The sequence below is a fragment of the Homo sapiens genome, chromosome 22 (assembly GCF_000001405.40).
Source record: "Homo sapiens chromosome 22, GRCh38.p14 Primary Assembly".
NCBI lineage: Eukaryota > Metazoa > Chordata > Mammalia > Primates > Hominidae > Homo > Homo sapiens.
Window position 1 is genome coordinate 49,956,373 of NC_000022.11, and position 17,493 is coordinate 49,973,865.

Sequence of the window (17,493 nt, forward strand, 5' to 3'; positions counted from 1 at the left end):
AGCGGCTGGGCCTGAGTTCATGCAGGTCGCCCACACCCCCAGCTCCCACTGACTAGGCGCCCCACTCCACCCCAGGCCCAACCCTGGGATGCCTTTGGTGAAACGTTGCAAAATCCTGGCACAGCTCTGCTGGCTCCTATCTGCAGCGGGTGAGAGGCTGCGACGACCGAGAGTGGAGGCCAGAGGGGAAAGGGCCTCTCCCCACAACAGGCATCGCCTGCCCCCGCCACTGCCCTGGGAGCACCCAGTCTTGGCCGCTGCAGCCTGTGTGGGCTGGAAGACGAGGTGCAGCAGGTGCCCCTCCCAAGCTGGGAACAGCTGGGGGAGTCCGGTCTGCGGGGAGATGACGCAGAGCTCCAGCCCAGGGCCTGGGGCGGCCGTACTGGGACATTGATTCTGGGTGGCAGCAGGTGCTGGTGGGGGCCAGGCCCATGGGCTGGGGAGGAGGGCCTGTACCCTGGTGGCCCAGGGGAGCCACAAAGGGTCCAAGGCAGGACTGTGAGGGGCTCACAGTGGGAAAAAGACCATGGTGGCCAAGGGGGCTCACACTGGGGCCTGGGATGAGGGTGGGAGCGGGCAGGTGGATCGGCAGGAGGGAGGTTTGGGAATGGGATAGGCCTCGGTAAGGGCTTGGGGGCAGGTGAGGGGACGCCCCCTCCTCAGGCATGGCCTGGGTTGGAAGGGCATCACATACAGGCAGGACAAGGCCGGGCGACCCTGTGGGATAGGCACGGGGCAACTGGAAACAGGCTGATTAAGGAGGCCTTGGTCATTGGCTTGGAGACTGGGGGTGGACAGGATCCCCAGGGAAGGAGGGAAGAGGGGCGGGATGGGCCGGCGGGAGGCAGGACAGTGGGGACACAGCCTGGGGAGCAGGAATGGGGGTGCCCGTGGAGCATGAACCCTGTTAACACTCCCCTCTGCAATGCCCCAGCTTTGAGGAGGTGTCTGTAAGTGTGATTCTATGTGTGAGTGTTTGTGAATTGGTGCGTGTGAGCAGTGTTAGCATGCATGTGTGTGTGGGAGACTGTAAGTGGCCCCAGCCACCTTCCATTCCACCTCCTCATCCTCCCGAATCCAGGCAGGCCAGCCTGGCTTGGGTCACCATGGCAAGAGCGTGACCCTCCTTCCAGCAGGCCAGGGTACCTGGGGGGACTCGCCGTGTCCACTGCGGAGCAGGGGCGGCTGTTTCCAGGTCAAGCAGTCGGGATGGGATGGCTCAGGGGCTGGGCTGGGGACTGGGGTGTGCAGACCCTCTGACAAGCTCTGCTCCACTCCCCTGTCCCTGCCCTGGGAAACACCTGCTCCAAGGACAGGCAGAGGCCCTGGCCCTGGAGCAAGGCTGCCCCTCTCAGCAGGATAGCCCAAGGGAAGGAGGCACCCATGCCATGCCGGCCTGAGCTTCAGGTGGGGTGGGGGGTGGGAGGACACAGGAAGGGGCTGGGCTGGGCCCTCTGCAGTCAGTACCCAGGTGGAGCGGCTCCCGCACCAAGACCCCGCCACGCCCACCTCCTGGCTCACCTCCTATCTGCAGGAGCGGCCCCAGCTCTGGCCCATGGGCTGGGCCTGCCCATGGGGCCCACTGGATGGGCCATCCACGAACCAGGAAAAAACAGGCAGGGCTGGTGTCCTGCACTGCTGGGGACTTGGCCGGGGGGTGGGGTGTTGATGGGACCTGTGGGAAAGGGGTGGCCCAGGGCAGAGGGTGAGAGGCCCTGAGGCCTCTCAGATTTTTCTTGCCCTGTATGCAGAGCGCAGATGCTCCACAACTGGGATGACCCATATCTGTTTGCCAAGCTGAGGAACAGGCTGGGCTGTGCCCAATGGCAGGGGAGGGGCACGACAAGGTGAGCAGGGTTATCTGGCGTTACTGGGGACCCCAGCACTCCAACTAGATCAGATGTGGTGGCCTGGGCCAGACACAGTCTAAAAGAGGCCTCAATGTCAAACAGTCCCGGGGGAGAGGGAAGGGCTGGGGACCATGCTGACCCCGCACGGAGCTCACCGTCAGTGCAAGGGTCCTCGCTGCACACACAAGCACGTACAACAGTAAATCGACAACATACACCAGTGTCTGGACAGACGTGGTTACAAAGATGTCACACTTTAGGGAAAGGGCTGCCTCTGGCCCTGCCCTGCCCTCCACTCCAGGGCCAGGCTGCTGGACCCCCACGCAGGAGCCCTCCGGAGGCTTTCACCGAGGCCTGTGTGGCAGGAATCCCATCTGGAGGCCTGGAGGAATCTCCAGCACACCTGGAGTGAGCGGGAGGAGGGCCGTGGAGGACAGGCACACCGTGCTTTCTGAAGGAGCAAGTCCTCCTGGATCTTAGTTAAGGGACACTTGAGGGTTTCAGAGCAAGACCCGGGGCCTAGGGAGAGCCAGGGTGGGGTGCCTGCCCGCCAGAGCCTGGTCTTCTACGGCCAGGATGACTCAGGGAAGACTGGCCTGGAGCCTGACATGTCAGACTCAAGGAAGACTAGCCTGACATGTCAGGCTGAGGACCCTCGCCCCTCCAGACTGACATGAACTCAACTGTAGTGGTCACCCCCTAGACCTACCGTGCTCTCCAGCATCTCTGCCCACCTCTGCTGCGTGTCCAGCACAGAAGAGGGCAGCCCCACTGGACCCTCAGGTAGGTCCCCGGGAGGACCCACATGGGCAGCAGCCCCTCCTCCTTCGCAGGTGCTGTGTGGATACTGCTGGAGGGGAAGGCTTGGGGTGTCATCCTACCAGGGATCTGATCTCGGGGGAGCCCTGTGCTGGGTGCGTGGTGGGTGGGGGAAGGCTAACCCACCAGCCCCAACCCTGCCCTCGTACTGCGGGAGAGAACTGGACAGAGCTCTGGGAAGCAGCGGCTGGAGGGGGAGGGGCCTGGGGACAAACAATGTCGCGTTGGCTTTGATCCTCAGGACCCAAGGGACAGGAAGAGATGAGCTAGGCAAGAGAGGAGCCCCCAGGAGCACAGGCATGGGCCCAGGCAGCGGGCGACGAAGCGAGCCCCAGAGGGCGCCCAGATGGCAGGTGGGCCTGGGCCAGTCCCGAGAGCCACAGCCTCAGAAGAGCTGAACAGGGGAGTGGTGTGTGAGTGGTCAGCGCAGGGACAGCGATGGTGACTGTATAGAGATGAGAGGTCAGACTTAGGGGAGGCTGGAAGCTCCGAGGCAAGTGTGTGTGCGCGCTGACGGTCACACCAGACCGCCCGGGGATGTCTGCCACAATATTTAGACCCCTGAGGGCCACTGAGAACGCCTGGCAGTGCCAAGAGGACCAGCCCCTGGGCCCTCTGGCCCCCAACTCTCAACCCACTAGCCCTGGGGCTGGCGGGTGGCCACTCACGTCCTGGAACCCTGAGCTGCTCTCAGGCCGGTGACTTTGGACCAATGTTGGCAATCTGTGGGTTTGCACCAAACCACACAGGTGAGTCAGACTTCTGTACAGAGAGCAGGGAAGGGGCACGACAGGGTGAAGTCCAGACCAGGGCAATGTGTACCCCGGCTGTTCAGCCTTTGAGTGCGGCTGTCGCAGCAATCAAGGTGGGCTCCCTGGTGGAGGTGGACAGCAGCTGCTGGAGAGCCCGGAGGGCAGCCAGGACCGTGTCAGACGGCAGGAGTCGGGCGGGGCCACTCCAGGCACCGGCCAGCAGGGCAGAGGTACCAGGGAGGGCCCTCGGGCTGCGGGCGTGAGGTCAGAGCCCAGGGTGAGGAGGAAGCATCTCCAGCCAGGTGCGCTCTCGGCCCCCGCCGGGGCTGCGAGGCTGGGGGCGCTGCCGCTGCGAGGGCTTCCAGAGGAGCCGGCGCTACCTCCCCGCGCGCCCGGCCACGTGCGCGACGGGATGCGCAGACAGCCGGGGACGCAGACTGGCGGCGTGTGTCACCTCGAGGCCGCGGGACAAGCGCAGGTCGCCTCCCGCACTCCCACACCCCCAGGAACCCTGCTCGGGGCCGGCGGGTGACCTTCCTAGGCACTGCTGGGGGCGGAGCCAGGAAACGGCTCGCCCCGCCATTGGCTGGGGCGCCGGATTTCTTTAAAAACTCCGGCTTCCATTGGCTCGTGCAGTCCCTCCTCGTTCTGCCCGAGGCGCCACGGCCGCCACCCGCGCGGGCACTGCGCCTGCGCGGAGTGAGAGCGTGAGCGCGGAGAGCGGACCGACGCGACACGCCGTGCGCCTCCGCGGCTGCGCTACGAAAACGAGTCCCGGAGCGGCCCCGCGCCCGCCGCACCCGGCCCTCGCCCGCCCGAAGACAGGCGCCAAGCTGCCCCGCCGTCTCCCCAGCTAGCGCCCGGCCGCCGCCGCCTCGCGGGCCCCGGGCGGAAGGGGGCGGGGTCCCGATTCGCCCCGCCCCCGCGGAGGGATACGCGGCGCCGCGGCCCAAAACCCCCGGGCGAGGCGGCCGGGGCGGGTGAGGCGCTCCGCCTGCTGCGCGTCTACGCGGTCCCCGCGGGCCTTCCGGGCCCACTGCGCCGCGCGGACCGCCTCGGGCTCGGACGGCCGGTGTCCCCGGCGCGCCGCTCGCCCGGATCGGCCGCGGCTTCGGCGCCTGGGGCTCGGGGCTCCGGGGAGGCCGTCGCCCGCGATGCTGCTCTCCAAGTTCGGCTCCCTGGCGCACCTCTGCGGGCCCGGCGGCGTGGACCACCTCCCGGTGAAGATCCTGCAGCCAGGTACGCGCGGGGCCGGCGGGGCCGGGGCCGGGGCCAGGGCGGGGACCGGGGGCGCCCCGGGCCGCACCAACCCCGCCCGCGCCTCCCTGCAGCCAAGGCGGACAAGGAGAGCTTCGAGAAGGCGTACCAGGTGGGCGCCGTGCTGGGTAGCGGCGGCTTCGGCACGGTCTACGCGGGTAGCCGCATCGCCGACGGGCTCCCGGTGAGTCGGACCGCCGGGCGGGCCCGGGTTTCTCGCGCGCCTTGCGCCTCGCTTGGCCCGGCCTGACCCCCGCGTCTCCGCAGGTGGCTGTGAAGCACGTGGTGAAGGAGCGGGTGACCGAGTGGGGCAGCCTGGTAAGTTGGGGCACGGGCGGCGGCGGCGGCGGGGGGCGGGCGCGGGGCTTTTGCTGACCGCCGTGTCCCCCAGGGCGGCGCGACCGTGCCCCTGGAGGTGGTGCTGCTGCGCAAGGTGGGCGCGGCGGGCGGCGCGCGCGGCGTCATCCGCCTGCTGGACTGGTTCGAGCGGCCCGACGGCTTCCTGCTGGTGCTGGAGCGGCCCGAGCCGGCGCAGGACCTCTTCGACTTTATCACGGAGCGCGGCGCCCTGGACGAGCCGCTGGCGCGCCGCTTCTTCGCGCAGGTGCTGGCCGCCGTGCGCCACTGCCACAGCTGCGGGGTCGTGCACCGCGACATTAAGGACGAAAATCTGCTTGTGGACCTGCGCTCCGGAGAGCTCAAGCTCATCGACTTCGGTTCGGGTGCGCTGCTCAAGGACACGGTCTACACCGACTTCGACGGTGAGCGCGGGCGCGGGGCAGGGAACGTTCCGGGGGCCTTGCCGGCGGGTTAACGCCTGCAGGGGCGGCACATGGAGGGGCTGATGACTGTTGGGCGGCCGCGCGCCCTGGGTCTGCTCTCGTGGGGAGCAGAGGCCCACGCGCTACCCTGGGGAGGGCTGAGCGAGGGATCAAGAGCGGGATCGTGCTGGGTGGGGGCTAGGGGCGCGCTCAATATTGCTTCCTCCATCGCGTTGGGGGGTACGGGGCCTCTTGCCCCGGTGTGGGAGGCGCGTGACATCCTTCCGGCCCGAGAGACCCCCGGCTGGGGGCGGTAGCGGAGGAGTCTCCGTGCGTGACGCAGGGCGCAGCCGGGCTGGGTCTGCGCCGGGAGCCTGGAGGCCCCCGCGGCGCGGTTGGAGTGGCGGGGCCTCCCCTGCGTGGGGGCGGGAGCTGCGTGCGTGCGGAGCGCGGGGGCGCGGCGGCAGAAATCCCCGCATTGCGGAGCTTGGGGAAGCCGGGGCTCCCCGCCCGCCCCTCCCTCCTCCCTCCCTCTCTCCCCTCCCCCCGTTCCCGCAGGCAGGCGCGCCGGGCGGTAAGGGACCCGCGCTGTCCCCCCCCCACCCAGGTAGCCTCACAGCGCATCTGTTTGTTGTGAAAGCCGAGCTCTTACTCATGTGACCTGCTCCTCCCCCGCGGCCGGCGGAGGGGGACGGCCGGCCCCTCCCCCAGCCCCCCCATCGCCTGCCGGGGTTTTTCCAGGGTGATGACGAGCAGGATTTTGAGGCCTGGCTCTGCTTCCTGTTACTGAGGCCAGGGAGTTAACCAGCAGGGACCTCGCCGTCTGTTGAGCGGCTCTGCCTCTGTGGTGGGCGTGCTAAGCCCTGTGTCCCCTTAGGCACCCGAGTGTACAGCCCCCCGGAGTGGATCCGCTACCACCGCTACCACGGGCGCTCGGCCACCGTGTGGTCGCTGGGCGTGCTTCTCTACGATATGGTGTGTGGGGACATCCCCTTCGAGCAGGACGAGGAGATCCTCCGAGGCCGCCTGCTCTTCCGGAGGAGGGTCTCTCCAGGTGCGTGGTGGCTCGAGGCGGGGGTGGGGGCCTCGCCCTGCTTGGGCCCTCCCTGACCTCTCCGCTCCGCACAGAGTGCCAGCAGCTGATCCGGTGGTGCCTGTCCCTGCGGCCCTCAGAGCGGCCGTCGCTGGATCAGATTGCGGCCCATCCCTGGATGCTGGGGGCTGACGGGGGCGTCCCGGAGAGCTGTGACCTGCGGCTGTGCACCCTCGACCCTGATGACGTGGCCAGCACCACGTCCAGCAGCGAGAGCTTGTGAGGAGCTGCACCTGACTGGGAGCTAGGGGACCACCTGCCTTGGCCAGACCTGGGACGCCCCCAGACCCTGACTTTCTCCTGCGTGGGCCGTCTCCTCCTGCGGAAGCAGTGACCTCTGACCCCTGGTGACCTTCGCTTTGAGTGCCTTTTGAACGCTGGTCCCGCGGGACTTGGTTTTCTCAAGCTCTGTCTGTCCAAAGACGCTCCGGTCGAGGTCCCGCCTGCCCTGGGTGGATACTTGAACCCCAGACGCCCCTCTGTGCTGCTGTGTCCGGAGGCGGCCTTCCCATCTGCCTGCCCACCCGGAGCTCTTTCCGCCGGCGCAGGGTCCCAAGCCCACCTCCCGCCCTCAGTCCTGCGGTGTGCGTCTGGGCACGTCCTGCACACACAATGCAAGTCCTGGCCTCCGCGCCCGCCCGCCCACGCGAGCCGTACCCGCCGCCAACTCTGTTATTTATGGTGTGACCCCCTGGAGGTGCCCTCGGCCCACCGGGGCTATTTATTGTTTAATTTATTTGTTGAGGTTATTTCCTCTGAGCAGTCTGCCTCTCCCAAGCCCCAGGGGACAGTGGGGAGGCAGGGGAGGGGGTGGCTGTGGTCCAGGGACCCCAGGCCCTGATTCCTGTGCCTGGCGTCTGTCCCGGCCCCGCCTGTCAGAAGATGAACATGTATAGTGGCTAACTTAAGGGGAGTGGGTGACCCTGACACTTCCAGGCACTGTGCCCAGGGTTTGGGTTTTAAATTATTGACTTTGTACAGTCTGCTTGTGGGCTCTGAAAGCTGGGGTGGGGCCAGAGCCTGAGCGTTTAATTTATTCAGTACCTGTGTTTGTGTGAATGCGGTGTGTGCAGGCATCGCAGATGGGGGTTCTTTCAGTTCAAAAGTGAGATGTCTGGAGATCATATTTTTTTATACAGGTATTTCAATTAAAATGTTTTTGTACATAGTGGATAATCCTGTATTTATGGGGCTGGGCATCCTGGGGGAAGAGAGGGGCTCTGAGGAAGGGCTTTGGCTGCTGGGTGACCTGACAAGTTTCCCGTGGGGCTGGTAGTTTTGCCCACGGGGGAAACGGGGGAGGCCCAGCTGGGTGCCAGCCTCCCCAGTGCCACAGGCTACTTCATGTGGCTTGTGGCCCACCGCACTACCCCGTGCTGCACCCAGGGAGAAGAGCAGCTGCCTCCTGGGGTGCCTCTGGGAGGTGGAGGCAGGGAGCCAGGCCCTGAGGATGCAGCAACCCACACTAGTCAGGAGGTCATTCCTCGGTGGTCCCAGGAGGATCTCTGCAGCCCCCACCCAGGGAGGCCTTGCCAGTGGAAATGGCCATACTTGCATCCTGGCTTGGTGGAAACAGAGACGTGCGGGGGGGTGGGGGAGGGAGTCCATGCTGCCTCAGAGGGTGGCTGGGGGTTTTGAAGGACAGGGAGGAGTTTGCCAGGCACATGGGGTGGGAGTGTGTTCCGGGCAGTGCCAAGGACGTGCAGAGGACATGAGGGTGGGGTTTGGTGGAGGGTATCGGGGTGTTCAGTCAGTTATAGTTAGACCCTGGCCTGGCGGGTGTGTGGTGAGAGAGTGGGGTATGAACCAGGTTCGGGTGTGTCAATGGGCCTGGCCACAATGTTCCTGGTGGGTAGAGGAGGCCTGGGTGGAGGGTCCCAGTGAGACTGCTCCCCCACCCCCACCCCAGGGGCCTTCTGCTCAACTGCCCACCCTGTGCTGGGCTGTGGGGTGCCCCATGTTGGCAGTGGACCTGCACCTGGGGCATCACCCAGTCTGCCAAGCGCACCTACTCGGCTCTCTGGCTCCTGGAGCCCTGTCTGCCCCCTGCCTCCCATCTGCCCCTCCGAATAAGAGTCCCTGATAAACAGCCCGGGGCAGGCAGCACCATACTGGACAGAAGACTGTCCCAGGCCCGAGGCCAGAGGCTGTGGCAGAGGCGGGAAGTTTGGGAAAGAGAAACAGGAGGAGACGAAAGTCACCCTTCCCCTGGAGAGCAGGCAGAGAGGGCTCGGGTGGGGGGCTCCCGCCTCAGGTTGTGACTGTTCAGGACATCAGTGGGTGTTTGTGGCCTCTGCTGTGGAGATCCAGGAGCACCTGGAGGGCAGCTGCTCAGTTAGGCAGGTCTCTCGGGGCCCTCATCTCACCCTACAGCCTCAGGCCAGCAGGGGAGATGAGGAGGTGCCGGGAAGGACAAGCCACCGGTTCCCATAGACCTGGCCCAACCAGCGTGCCCTGAGTCCAGTCTGGTCCAGTGAGGCTTTTCCCATTACCCCACCCCCCACTGCCAAAATGGGACCCTCGGGCAGCAGCCATTGCGGCCCACCTGCTCCTGGGCCAACTGCCATGGGCATTCCCCAGCCCCCAGCCATGGGCATCCCCAGCCCCGGCTTCAGCCAGGCAAAGGCCCTCCACGCAGATTGCTTTTGGGAAACTGAAGGCCAGAGAGGCAGGAACCTTGGGCAGATGTCAGAATAGGACTCTGGTCCTTCCCACTGCTGTGCCCCACACACTGCTGCTGAGGGCTGGCTGGGGACCCCTCTAAGGTGGCCTACAGGGTGGGGACATCTGCCAGGGCCCTGGGAATGGGTGCAGGGCGCTGGGCTGAGGCTCCCAGCGAGATAGCTCTGGCCTTCTAGCACAGGGGATGGCGCGCTTGGGGGCGCCTCTGGACATAGCCCTCCACCCCCTGACTCAGGAGGAGACAGGGCCCAGCCAGCCTCGGGTCCTTCCTCAGGCTCTCGGCCACAGGTCATCTGCCTGACTGAGCACCACGGCCCAGGGGCGGCAGGAGCTGGTGGAGGATTCCTGTGGGCCTTTTCTGGCTCCTGGGGCGGCCCATAGTGAGCTTTCAGAGACATCTCTGAGGGCACCATCCTGGTCCAGAGACAAGCAGAGCTCCAGAGCCCAAGCGCCAGGAATCTGCTCCCCTGCCGGCCCCACCCCACCTCTGCTGCTTTGGCTCTGCTGGGCCACTTGACTTTGGGTGCTGGACGAAGGGGAAGGATTCAGGGCCTCCCCAACCCTTCCCTGGCCCCCTCCAGCCCCCCAGCTGTCTGGGCTCCTGCACACCCTTCCCCTAGACACTCCCTGGGGCTCTGGCAGGATCCAAGTGACCGTAGGCCTGGTTCCTCCCCGCCAGTCCCCACCCTAGACCTGCGGTCTGGCCTCTCCCTGGGGGTCGAAGCCCAGCAGAATCCACTGTGTTCCTGCAGGGCCTCTGTGGGCTCCTAGGTGGGTCCTTCCCTATGGACTGGGCCCCTCCCACCCTGCCTAGGAGCCTCCAGGGCTGCAGTACCCCTTGGCCACTCGGGTTGAGGGATGATGTGTATCCCCAGCCATGCTCACCCCTGCAGGGTGTACACCAGGTGACTGGTCTGGACCTGCTGCCTGCAGGATCTGGGGCCAGAGTCCAGGTCAGAACCAGCCCACCGCCCTGAGCCTCTCTCAGGGGAAGATGGGGTACCCAAGCACATCCACCCCAGGGCACCCTCCTCCTAGCTTGCAGACCTGGGCCTGCTTGGCCGCTTATGACTTCGGGTGGGCGCCTGGCCTCTGAGGCTGTTTCCCCCACCTGGGTCATTCAGAGCTGGGTCCAGGTGACCCATCCCCAAGGGAGGCCCCTTGCTTGTTCATGGGGGAGCAAACCCTCACCCCACCCATCCTGGTCGACATCTGGGGCACGGCACCCTGGGAGAGGCTTTCCTGCAGGGCCCTGGCCAGGAGGAGGGCAGTGGCCAGGCTGGAGGGGCAGGCCCTGCCCCCACCCTGCCTTGTCAGGCCTTACTGCCGGGAACCCGGGGGCCAGAGGCTGTTCAGTTGTGAAACGAAAGCTCAGGGTTTCGCCAGGGCTGCCCGGGAAGCGGTGGGCCTGGAAGCCATGTGCCAGAGGATCTAGCACCGCCATGAGAGGCCTCTGTCTGCAGAAAGGGGAAGGACTCATTGAGAAATTCCGGGCTGGGAATCTATCTTGGGCCCTGTACTCTCTCAGCCCCGGCAGGGGTCAGGGGCAGGGGTCAGGGATGGACAGAGACCCAGCAAGCTCTTATCTCCCCTGTGCTCTGTGGGCAGACTGGCTGACACCCTTCCCTAACGCCTGCCTGGGGCCCTAGGCCCAGCCGCACCTGGACGCTGCCCACGCAGATCCCCCAGCGGCCCCCGTCCAGCCTTGGTGTCCTGACTGCTTCCTTTGGAGGAGCCTGGGTGCCTCAGACCCGGTGTGGGCTTAGCTCCCCCTTCTGTCTCCCTTGCTCTCCCCGACTCCCCGGGGCCCGGTGTGATGCTGGTGTCATATCACACCGCGAGCTCAGCCTGAGGGTCCAATGGGTGTGTGGGTGTGTGGTCAGCCCTCAGCCGCTGCCTGTCCAGGCTGCCACCGCCCATCCAGGGAGCTGCTCGGCCTCTGCCCACAGAACAGCCCCGCAGCTGCACAGGTGGCTTCCTACAGTTTCCTTTCGTGCTGTTTCCGCGACAGCTCAGGGGCTCCCGGGCCAGTTGGGTGCCCGGCACGGGGTGGTGTTCGCAGGGGCTGCCAGGGATCACTTCCCTTTGCCGCGCAGCTTTGGCACCACAGCCATGCTAAGGTTTCGTTTCTGGAGCTGCTTTGGAAGAAAGAAACTGAACAGCGCCCTGATGGCTACAGAAGGTCTGTGTCCCAGTCTCTCCTTCTGGGAAGCTGGGCTGGCCTTGGGCCCAGAGGCGGTCGAGCAGCCTGGCAAGAAGAACGGACCTCGGAGCGGAACCTTGCCCCCTGTGTGGGTGCCGGGCAGGCTGTGGGGCACGACCAGCCTTGGCCCCTCCCCCGACCTGTTTACTGACCAGGCCACCCTCAGGGGCATAGCTGTGGACAAACCAATCAGTTCCAAGGCTGCCGAGTGAGCCAGGACGGCATCTGTGTGGCCCAGCCTGCACTGACAGCTGGAACGACGCACTCACCACAGTACGCAGCGGTCACATGACACTGAGGACCACAGCCTGTTCAGGACTCCCCCTGGGGTGGACGCTGTCCAGAACTTGGCAGAATGTTTCTAAAGGACACCTTTAGATAGCAAATCAGCAAAGGACCACCCGTGCAGAGAATAATTGGACCAGGTGTGGGAAGAGAGGTCAGCGTGTGGACGTGGGCGGGGTGGGGGGTACGGAGCCTGGGCACAGTCTTCTGGAAGTTGGGGGCAAGGAGCAGAGGGTGGAGGACGAGACCCAGGAAGCTTCCGGCCTGGAGGAAGGCAGGTTGGAGTTTCAAGGGTCTGGTCTCCCAGACAGTCCTTCCTAAGGCAGCCTGTCTCCCTCTCCTCCAGCCCCATCCTGGACCTGAGACAACCTGGGTCTGAGGGAGCCCCTCCCAGACCCGAGACTCCGCACACAGGGCTGGTTCTGATGAGCAGATAGATCCTGCTCCTGCAGAGCGGGGTGTCCTGCAGATGCCAGGGACCTGCAAAGCCTGGCACAGGGCAGCACAGACCTCCCCGCCTCGCCCGCCCTCCACAGAGCCTCCAGGCCCTGAGCAGTGGGACAGCCGGGGGCAGCTGGAGGCACCTGCAGGCACCAGGTCCAGACCCATCCTCCTGGCCAGGTCCCTGCAGAATCTCCCAGGGGTGCCGTGCCCCAGATGCCAGCCAGCATGGGTGGAGTGGGTGTTCGCTCCCCCATGAACAAGCAAGGGGTCTCTCTTGGGGATGGGTCACCTGGACCCAGCTCTGAATGATCCAGGTGGGGGAAACTGAAGCCCAGAGGCCAGGCGCCCACCCAAAGTCATAAGGGGCCAAGCAGGCTCAGGTCTGTAAGCCAAGAGGAGGCTAGCCTGGGGTGGGTGTGCTTCTGGGAGCCCCATCTTCCCCTGGAAGGCCAGGGCGTGGCTGGCTGTGAGCTCTCCCCTAATCCTGCCACCTGCCCTCCTGCAGGGCCCTGGGCTGCACTCTGCTGCTCCACTGACACAGGTGGGGGCCAGCTGAGGAGCCGATGGCCCTCCAGGCCCAGCACATGATGCAGCCCCATGCCACTCTCCTGGCCTGAAGCCCTGTGGCCACTGTGCTGAGGCTGGCTCTGTGGGCTTCCTCCGGACTCTGGGGCTTGGCCTGTGCAGGGCAGGTGCTCGGATGTCCCGGAGGAGCTCCTGGGCAGCGTCCGTTGGGCCCCTCACCAGAACTGCTGTGATCAGTGACCCCCACCCCACTGGCCACTCCAGCAGGTGGCGGGGGGCATGGAGAAGGGAAGCACTGGTGCCCCAGTCCTCAGGCCAGACCCAGCCCAAAGGTGGTCTGAGCATTCCCTGAGGCCGCTGAGTGTCCTGCCAGGGTCCGGGCTGTGCGACCGCCCTGGACTGCACCTGGGAAGACGTTCCCATCAGGCGGCTGGGCCTGCTCTGGTTTGCAGGTGCCCTGGGTCCTGGGGCCCAGTGACTGGCTCCACCCCTTGGGCCAGGCCAGGCAGAGCTGTTTGCCTGCAACCAGGGACCAGGGGTCCTGGGCCACTGGACGCTGCCAAGGCTACAGTGTGCCAGGAAAGCATGAGGACCTTTTCTGGGCCTCTATGTCTAGAAAGGACATGAGATATGGGCCCTCATATCCCATGGGGGAGCGGGTCAGTGTAGAGAGGACCAGGGACCTGGAAATGCCAGGATTGAGTCTCAGGCCACATGTACAACCTGCTGGCCAGGTCCCCACAGAGGCAGCCCTATCCCACGGAGCATCCCAGAGGGGCCACCCCAAGACTCCCAACCCTCCACTTGCCCCTGTCTGGTTTTCTGCTTACCAAATCCTCCCACTTTTCACTCAGGAGGGAACCAGACGTTCCTGAGCCTGGGGGCTCACCCCTGCCTGAGAGGCATGACCAAGACCTATGTGGGCGGGATCATTCCAGATGTAGCAGAAACATGGTGAGGGCTCTTTGGGGCCACTATCACCATCAGCCTTTGCACAGGTGGGCTCCCCAGTGGGGCCTGGGAGACAGCACAGGCAGCTCTGCAGAGATCTGGGGAGAGGGGCTTGGCAGTGGGGCAGCAGGTGCAAAGGCCCTGAGGCAGGCGGAGGGGCCAGGACCACAGTCCCATCCAGCACTCGCCCTGGGCCCTGCCTCCTGGTCTACTCCATGCCCAGGGTCCCCCTCAACAGTCTGTTCCGTGTGGGATGAGCTGAGGGGAGGAAGCAGGGGTCTCAGAAGCACAAGGGCCCTGAGCAGAGCCCTGGGGACTGTCTCCTGCTGTGAGACAGGACTGGGCAGGGGCTGGCAGGCATGTGTCTGGGTGGCCCATGCCAGCCGTGGAGCAGGCCAGGGGCTGCTCTGATGCCCACAGGACTGCCCATTTGCCAGCACAGGACCTGGCCCTGGAGGGTCCTGGAGTCCCAGCTCTACCCTGAAGCAGCCACCTCAGTCCTCCCTCTAGAAAGGACCAGCAGGGTCTACCGGGCCACCCAGGAATGCAGGCAACTCTTATGATGTGTAGGCACCTGTGTGTCCACATCTGTACACGTAGAAAAGTGTCGGTGGGTGTGTAAATCTATACATGTTCCAAGTGTGTGTGTCTGGGTTTTTGTGCATGTGCATGTGTGTGTGTGCATGTGAATCTCTGTGTGTGCAGGTGTGATTTCCTGTGTGCACGTCTATGTGTATATGCATGTGGGCACGTGTCTGCCATGTATGTGTGTGCTCCAATGTGTGTGATCCTGTGTGTGCACACGTGTGTGTGCATGCACGCGTCTGCACCTGGGCAGGACCTGGCCTAGGAAGAGCCTGGAGCCAAGACTAGCAGTTCTCCCCTCCCCCGCCCCCAAATGACGTGGCCGCTGCCACCGCGTGACTCACCCTCCCTTCACTCAAAGGGCACAGCAGCACGTGGGGGCGCCTCCTGTGACTCAGCACCTCCCGGAGGCGGTGAAGGGGGACGCTGGTGACAGGGGAGGAGTCTGGAGCTGAGAGGCGAACGGAGAGCACAGTGGAGCACACGGGCCCTGCCCACCCGCCTGTCCTGTCCAAGGATGCTGGGGCCCCGACCAGCCGGTCACAGGCGCGTCCTAGCTTTGGGGGCACACACGTGTTCCCGTGTGCGATGCGGGCTGGACCGTCTGGGGCCCCGGATGGGGTTTAAGAACATTTCCGGGCCCTGTGTCCCCCATAGTTGGGGGAGCCGCTGCGAGCGAGCACAGGGGAACGCGAGGCCGGGGTGGGTTCCTGGGCGCCGACGACGCAGGAGGAGGCGGATCTGGGGGCCGGGGGGCGGCGCAGAGAGCAGGGCGCGTGGGGAGCGGGAATGCGCTTTGGGGAGCGGCGCAGGCGGAGCCGGCCAGATCTTTAAGGCGGGGGAGGATGGTGCGGATCGGGAGGTAAAAGGTCGGCCTGACCCGGGAGCCGAGGAGGCCGGGCTGGCCAAAAGGACCCCGCCCACGGACGCGGCCCACGCGAGGCCCCTCCCTCCCCAGCGCCGAGGACGCGCTTGTCCGAAGCGGGCGTGGCGCGGAGTCCGGGGAGAGACCGAGGACTGTGGCCCGCGGACCTCCCCGCCCCCACACCCTGGCCCAGCCTCGGTACGTTCTGTCCCCGTCCCCACCACACGCGGTCTCCAGGGCCCGGCACCTGACACCAGGCCCTGCTGCGGCCGCTGCGCCCCGACAGCCAGATGAGCTGTGGGCTGCCTGGGCCGGCAGGGTCCCTGGGGCAGGAGGAGGGAGGGGAGAGGGGCCAAGATTCCACCCACCAGGGCACCTGCGGGCGCACTGTCTCCAGGACCACAGGTGCAAGCACTGGCGGGGCCCCAGGCCAGCCCTCCACGGAGAGCCCGGTCCCAGGCGGGCTGCGGGGGCAGGTGCGGGGCCGTCCAGCGTCTGGCTGTGGGGCGCCCAGTGGGGTTCTGCCCCCCGGGTCTCCTCCCTCCTGGGGAAAAGGAGCTGGAGACCGCCTGCCCTGAGGTCAGTCAGTAGGGTCGGCGCAGGTAGCAGAAGGCGAGCAGGTTGCTCTCTGGCGGGTGGGTGGGGAGTGGGTACCCCCTTCATCCCATCCACAGCTCAGGCCCCCGTCTCTGGGGACCTCGGGGCACCGCGTGGAGGAGCCCTGGCCTGCGGGGAGGGGTCTGCGGCGGGAATGGTTAGCCAGGCTGGGGGCACCGTCGGGGCGTCCCCACCACCTCGGCGCCCACGTCGGGTTTTGCGGGGGCTTCCCACGTGGGCCCCTGGGTGGGCGCCCACGCCCCATGCGCCTCCCCTGCGCCCCAGCCTGGCGGAGTCCTCCAGGTTCCTGCCCCTCAGGCAGCCGCACCCTGCCTGGTCCGCGGGACCCCCTACAAAGCCCTGACCTCCTCTCCTGGACCCTCCCACCTGGGCCCGCCGCCCCTACCTCGGGCTGCGCGACCACCCGCGGGCACCCTCGTCTCGCAGCCCCGCCTGGACCTCTTCCTAGCTTTGCACTTCCCCAGACCCCGGCCCCACCGCCCCCAGCCTCCTGTGTCCCGTAGGTCCCTCTGGCGCTGCGCCCCCACCTCCTCCAGTCTGGCTCTGTGTCCCCGCGAGGTGCTGGGTCCCTTCCCACCCCCGCCTCCTCCTCCCTGGTCCCACTGGAGGGGCAGGCAGGGCCGGGGCCGAGTCTCCACACCTGAGGAAATCCCTTCCTGGCCCGGTCCCACCCACGGCCCCCTGGCAACCCCACAGGCCACTGGCCACCCTCCAGGAGGTTCCAGCAGATGGGGTGTGTGTGTGTGTGTGTGTGTGTGTGTGATGTGTGTGTGATGTGTATAGTGTGTGTGTGTGCGTGCTATGTGTATTGTGTGGTGTGTAGTGTTTGTGTAAGATGTGTGGTTGTGTGTGGTGTTTATGTATGGTGTTTGTGTATGGTGTGTAGTGTGTGTGTATCGTGTGTATTGTGTATGGTGTGTGTGTTGTGTATGTATCGTGTGGTGTTATGTATAGAGTATGTCATTGGTGTGTGGTGTGTGTATCGTGTTATGTGTGTCGTGTTTTGTGTGTTGTCTTTTCTGGTGTCTGCTGTTTGTGGGTGGTGTGTATATATCATGTGTGGTGTGTGGTGTGTGTGTCATGTGTTTTGTGGTGTGTGCTGTGTGTGTATGGTGTGTGTTGTGTGGTGTTTTGTGGAGTGTGGTGTTTGTGTGTGGTGTGTATGTATCATGTGGTGGTGTGTATGGTGTGTCATGTGTTTTGCATTGTGTGGTGTATATAGTGTGTGTATGTGGTATGGTGGGTATGATGTGTTTGTGGTATGTGGTATTTGTGTCGTGTGTTGTGTCTGTGTTGTGTGTGGTGTTTGTGTGTGGTGTGTATGTATCGTGTGTGGTGTTGTGTATAGTGTATGTGGTATAGTGAGTATGGTGTGTTTGTGGCATGTGGTGTTTGTATGGTGTGTGTTGTGTGTGGTGTTTTGTGGTGTGTGGTGTGTGTGTGGTGTGAATATATCATGTGTGGTGTGTGTGGTGTGTGTGTCAAGCATTTACTGGTGTGTGTGTGCTGTGTGTGTATGGGGTGTGTATGGTGTTTTGTGGTGTATGCTGTGTGTGTATGGTGTGTGTTGTGTGTGTGTGGTGTTTTGTGTTTGTGTGTGGTATGTATATATCATGTGTGTTGTGTGTGATGTGTGTCATGCATTTACTGGTGTGTGCTGTGTGTGTATGGTGTGTGTTGTGCGTGTGTGGTGTTTTGTGGTGTGTGGTGTTTGTGTGTGGTGTGTATATATCATGTGTGGTGTTGTGTGTTGTGTTTGTGTGGTGTGTGCTGTGTGTGTGTGGTTGTTTGTGGTGTGTGGTG

At 64.7% G+C, this 17,493-nt stretch overlaps 1 protein-coding gene and 1 non-coding gene across 2 annotated transcripts, besides 14 other annotated features; both read left to right on the forward strand.

Annotated features, from left to right (window-relative positions):
• Nucleotides 3,373-3,432: a silencer, noted in NCBI's record as "silent region_13935". NCBI's record gives its function as "represses an Ori minimal core promoter by ATAC-STARR-seq in GM12878 lymphoblastoid cells {active_cell/tissue: GM12878}" and the evidence as "EXISTENCE:reporter gene assay evidence [ECO:0000049][PMID:35858748]".
• Nucleotides 3,573-3,852: a silencer, noted in NCBI's record as "silent region_13936". NCBI's record gives its function as "represses an Ori minimal core promoter by ATAC-STARR-seq in GM12878 lymphoblastoid cells {active_cell/tissue: GM12878}" and the evidence as "EXISTENCE:reporter gene assay evidence [ECO:0000049][PMID:35858748]".
• Nucleotides 3,893-4,532: a silencer, noted in NCBI's record as "silent region_13937". NCBI's record gives its function as "represses an Ori minimal core promoter by ATAC-STARR-seq in GM12878 lymphoblastoid cells {active_cell/tissue: GM12878}" and the evidence as "EXISTENCE:reporter gene assay evidence [ECO:0000049][PMID:35858748]".
• PIM3 (Pim-3 proto-oncogene, serine/threonine kinase) lies at nt 4,400-7,700 on the forward strand. Its single transcript, NM_001001852.4, has 6 exons — nt 4,400-4,660; nt 4,753-4,862; nt 4,946-4,996; nt 5,070-5,439; nt 6,317-6,493; nt 6,568-7,700. The coding sequence occupies exons 1-6, from the start codon at nt 4,576-4,578 to the stop codon at nt 6,753-6,755; spliced, it is 981 nt and encodes a 326-aa protein (NP_001001852.2). The 5' UTR covers nt 4,400-4,575; the 3' UTR covers nt 6,756-7,700.
• Nucleotides 4,583-4,732: a silencer, noted in NCBI's record as "silent region_13938". NCBI's record gives its function as "represses an Ori minimal core promoter by ATAC-STARR-seq in GM12878 lymphoblastoid cells {active_cell/tissue: GM12878}" and the evidence as "EXISTENCE:reporter gene assay evidence [ECO:0000049][PMID:35858748]".
• Nucleotides 4,873-4,922: a silencer, noted in NCBI's record as "silent region_13939". NCBI's record gives its function as "represses an Ori minimal core promoter by ATAC-STARR-seq in GM12878 lymphoblastoid cells {active_cell/tissue: GM12878}" and the evidence as "EXISTENCE:reporter gene assay evidence [ECO:0000049][PMID:35858748]".
• Nucleotides 5,563-5,612: a silencer, noted in NCBI's record as "silent region_13940". NCBI's record gives its function as "represses an Ori minimal core promoter by ATAC-STARR-seq in GM12878 lymphoblastoid cells {active_cell/tissue: GM12878}" and the evidence as "EXISTENCE:reporter gene assay evidence [ECO:0000049][PMID:35858748]".
• Nucleotides 5,743-6,262: a silencer, noted in NCBI's record as "silent region_13941". NCBI's record gives its function as "represses an Ori minimal core promoter by ATAC-STARR-seq in GM12878 lymphoblastoid cells {active_cell/tissue: GM12878}" and the evidence as "EXISTENCE:reporter gene assay evidence [ECO:0000049][PMID:35858748]".
• Nucleotides 6,494-6,567, forward strand: MIR6821 (microRNA 6821). The gene has a single exon (NR_106879.1). It is a non-coding gene; the product is annotated as a microRNA 6821 (primary transcript).
• Nucleotides 8,836-9,336: an enhancer, noted in NCBI's record as "H3K4me1 hESC enhancer chr22:50358856-50359356 (GRCh37/hg19 assembly coordinates)". NCBI's record gives its function as "activates a minimal SCP1, AML or CMV promoter by ChIP-STARR-seq in naive H9 embryonic stem cells {active_cell/tissue: H9 hESC(naive)}" and the evidence as "EXISTENCE:reporter gene assay evidence [ECO:0000049][PMID:30033119]".
• Nucleotides 9,995-10,114: an enhancer, noted in NCBI's record as "active region_19289". NCBI's record gives its function as "activates an Ori minimal core promoter by ATAC-STARR-seq in GM12878 lymphoblastoid cells {active_cell/tissue: GM12878}" and the evidence as "EXISTENCE:reporter gene assay evidence [ECO:0000049][PMID:35858748]".
• Nucleotides 10,155-10,214: an enhancer, noted in NCBI's record as "active region_19290". NCBI's record gives its function as "activates an Ori minimal core promoter by ATAC-STARR-seq in GM12878 lymphoblastoid cells {active_cell/tissue: GM12878}" and the evidence as "EXISTENCE:reporter gene assay evidence [ECO:0000049][PMID:35858748]".
• Nucleotides 10,435-10,504: a silencer, noted in NCBI's record as "silent region_13942". NCBI's record gives its function as "represses an Ori minimal core promoter by ATAC-STARR-seq in GM12878 lymphoblastoid cells {active_cell/tissue: GM12878}" and the evidence as "EXISTENCE:reporter gene assay evidence [ECO:0000049][PMID:35858748]".
• Nucleotides 12,505-12,554: an enhancer, noted in NCBI's record as "active region_19291". NCBI's record gives its function as "activates an Ori minimal core promoter by ATAC-STARR-seq in GM12878 lymphoblastoid cells {active_cell/tissue: GM12878}" and the evidence as "EXISTENCE:reporter gene assay evidence [ECO:0000049][PMID:35858748]".
• Nucleotides 14,399-14,658: an enhancer, noted in NCBI's record as "active region_19292". NCBI's record gives its function as "activates an Ori minimal core promoter by ATAC-STARR-seq in GM12878 lymphoblastoid cells {active_cell/tissue: GM12878}" and the evidence as "EXISTENCE:reporter gene assay evidence [ECO:0000049][PMID:35858748]".
• Nucleotides 14,979-15,768: a silencer, noted in NCBI's record as "silent region_13943". NCBI's record gives its function as "represses an Ori minimal core promoter by ATAC-STARR-seq in GM12878 lymphoblastoid cells {active_cell/tissue: GM12878}" and the evidence as "EXISTENCE:reporter gene assay evidence [ECO:0000049][PMID:35858748]".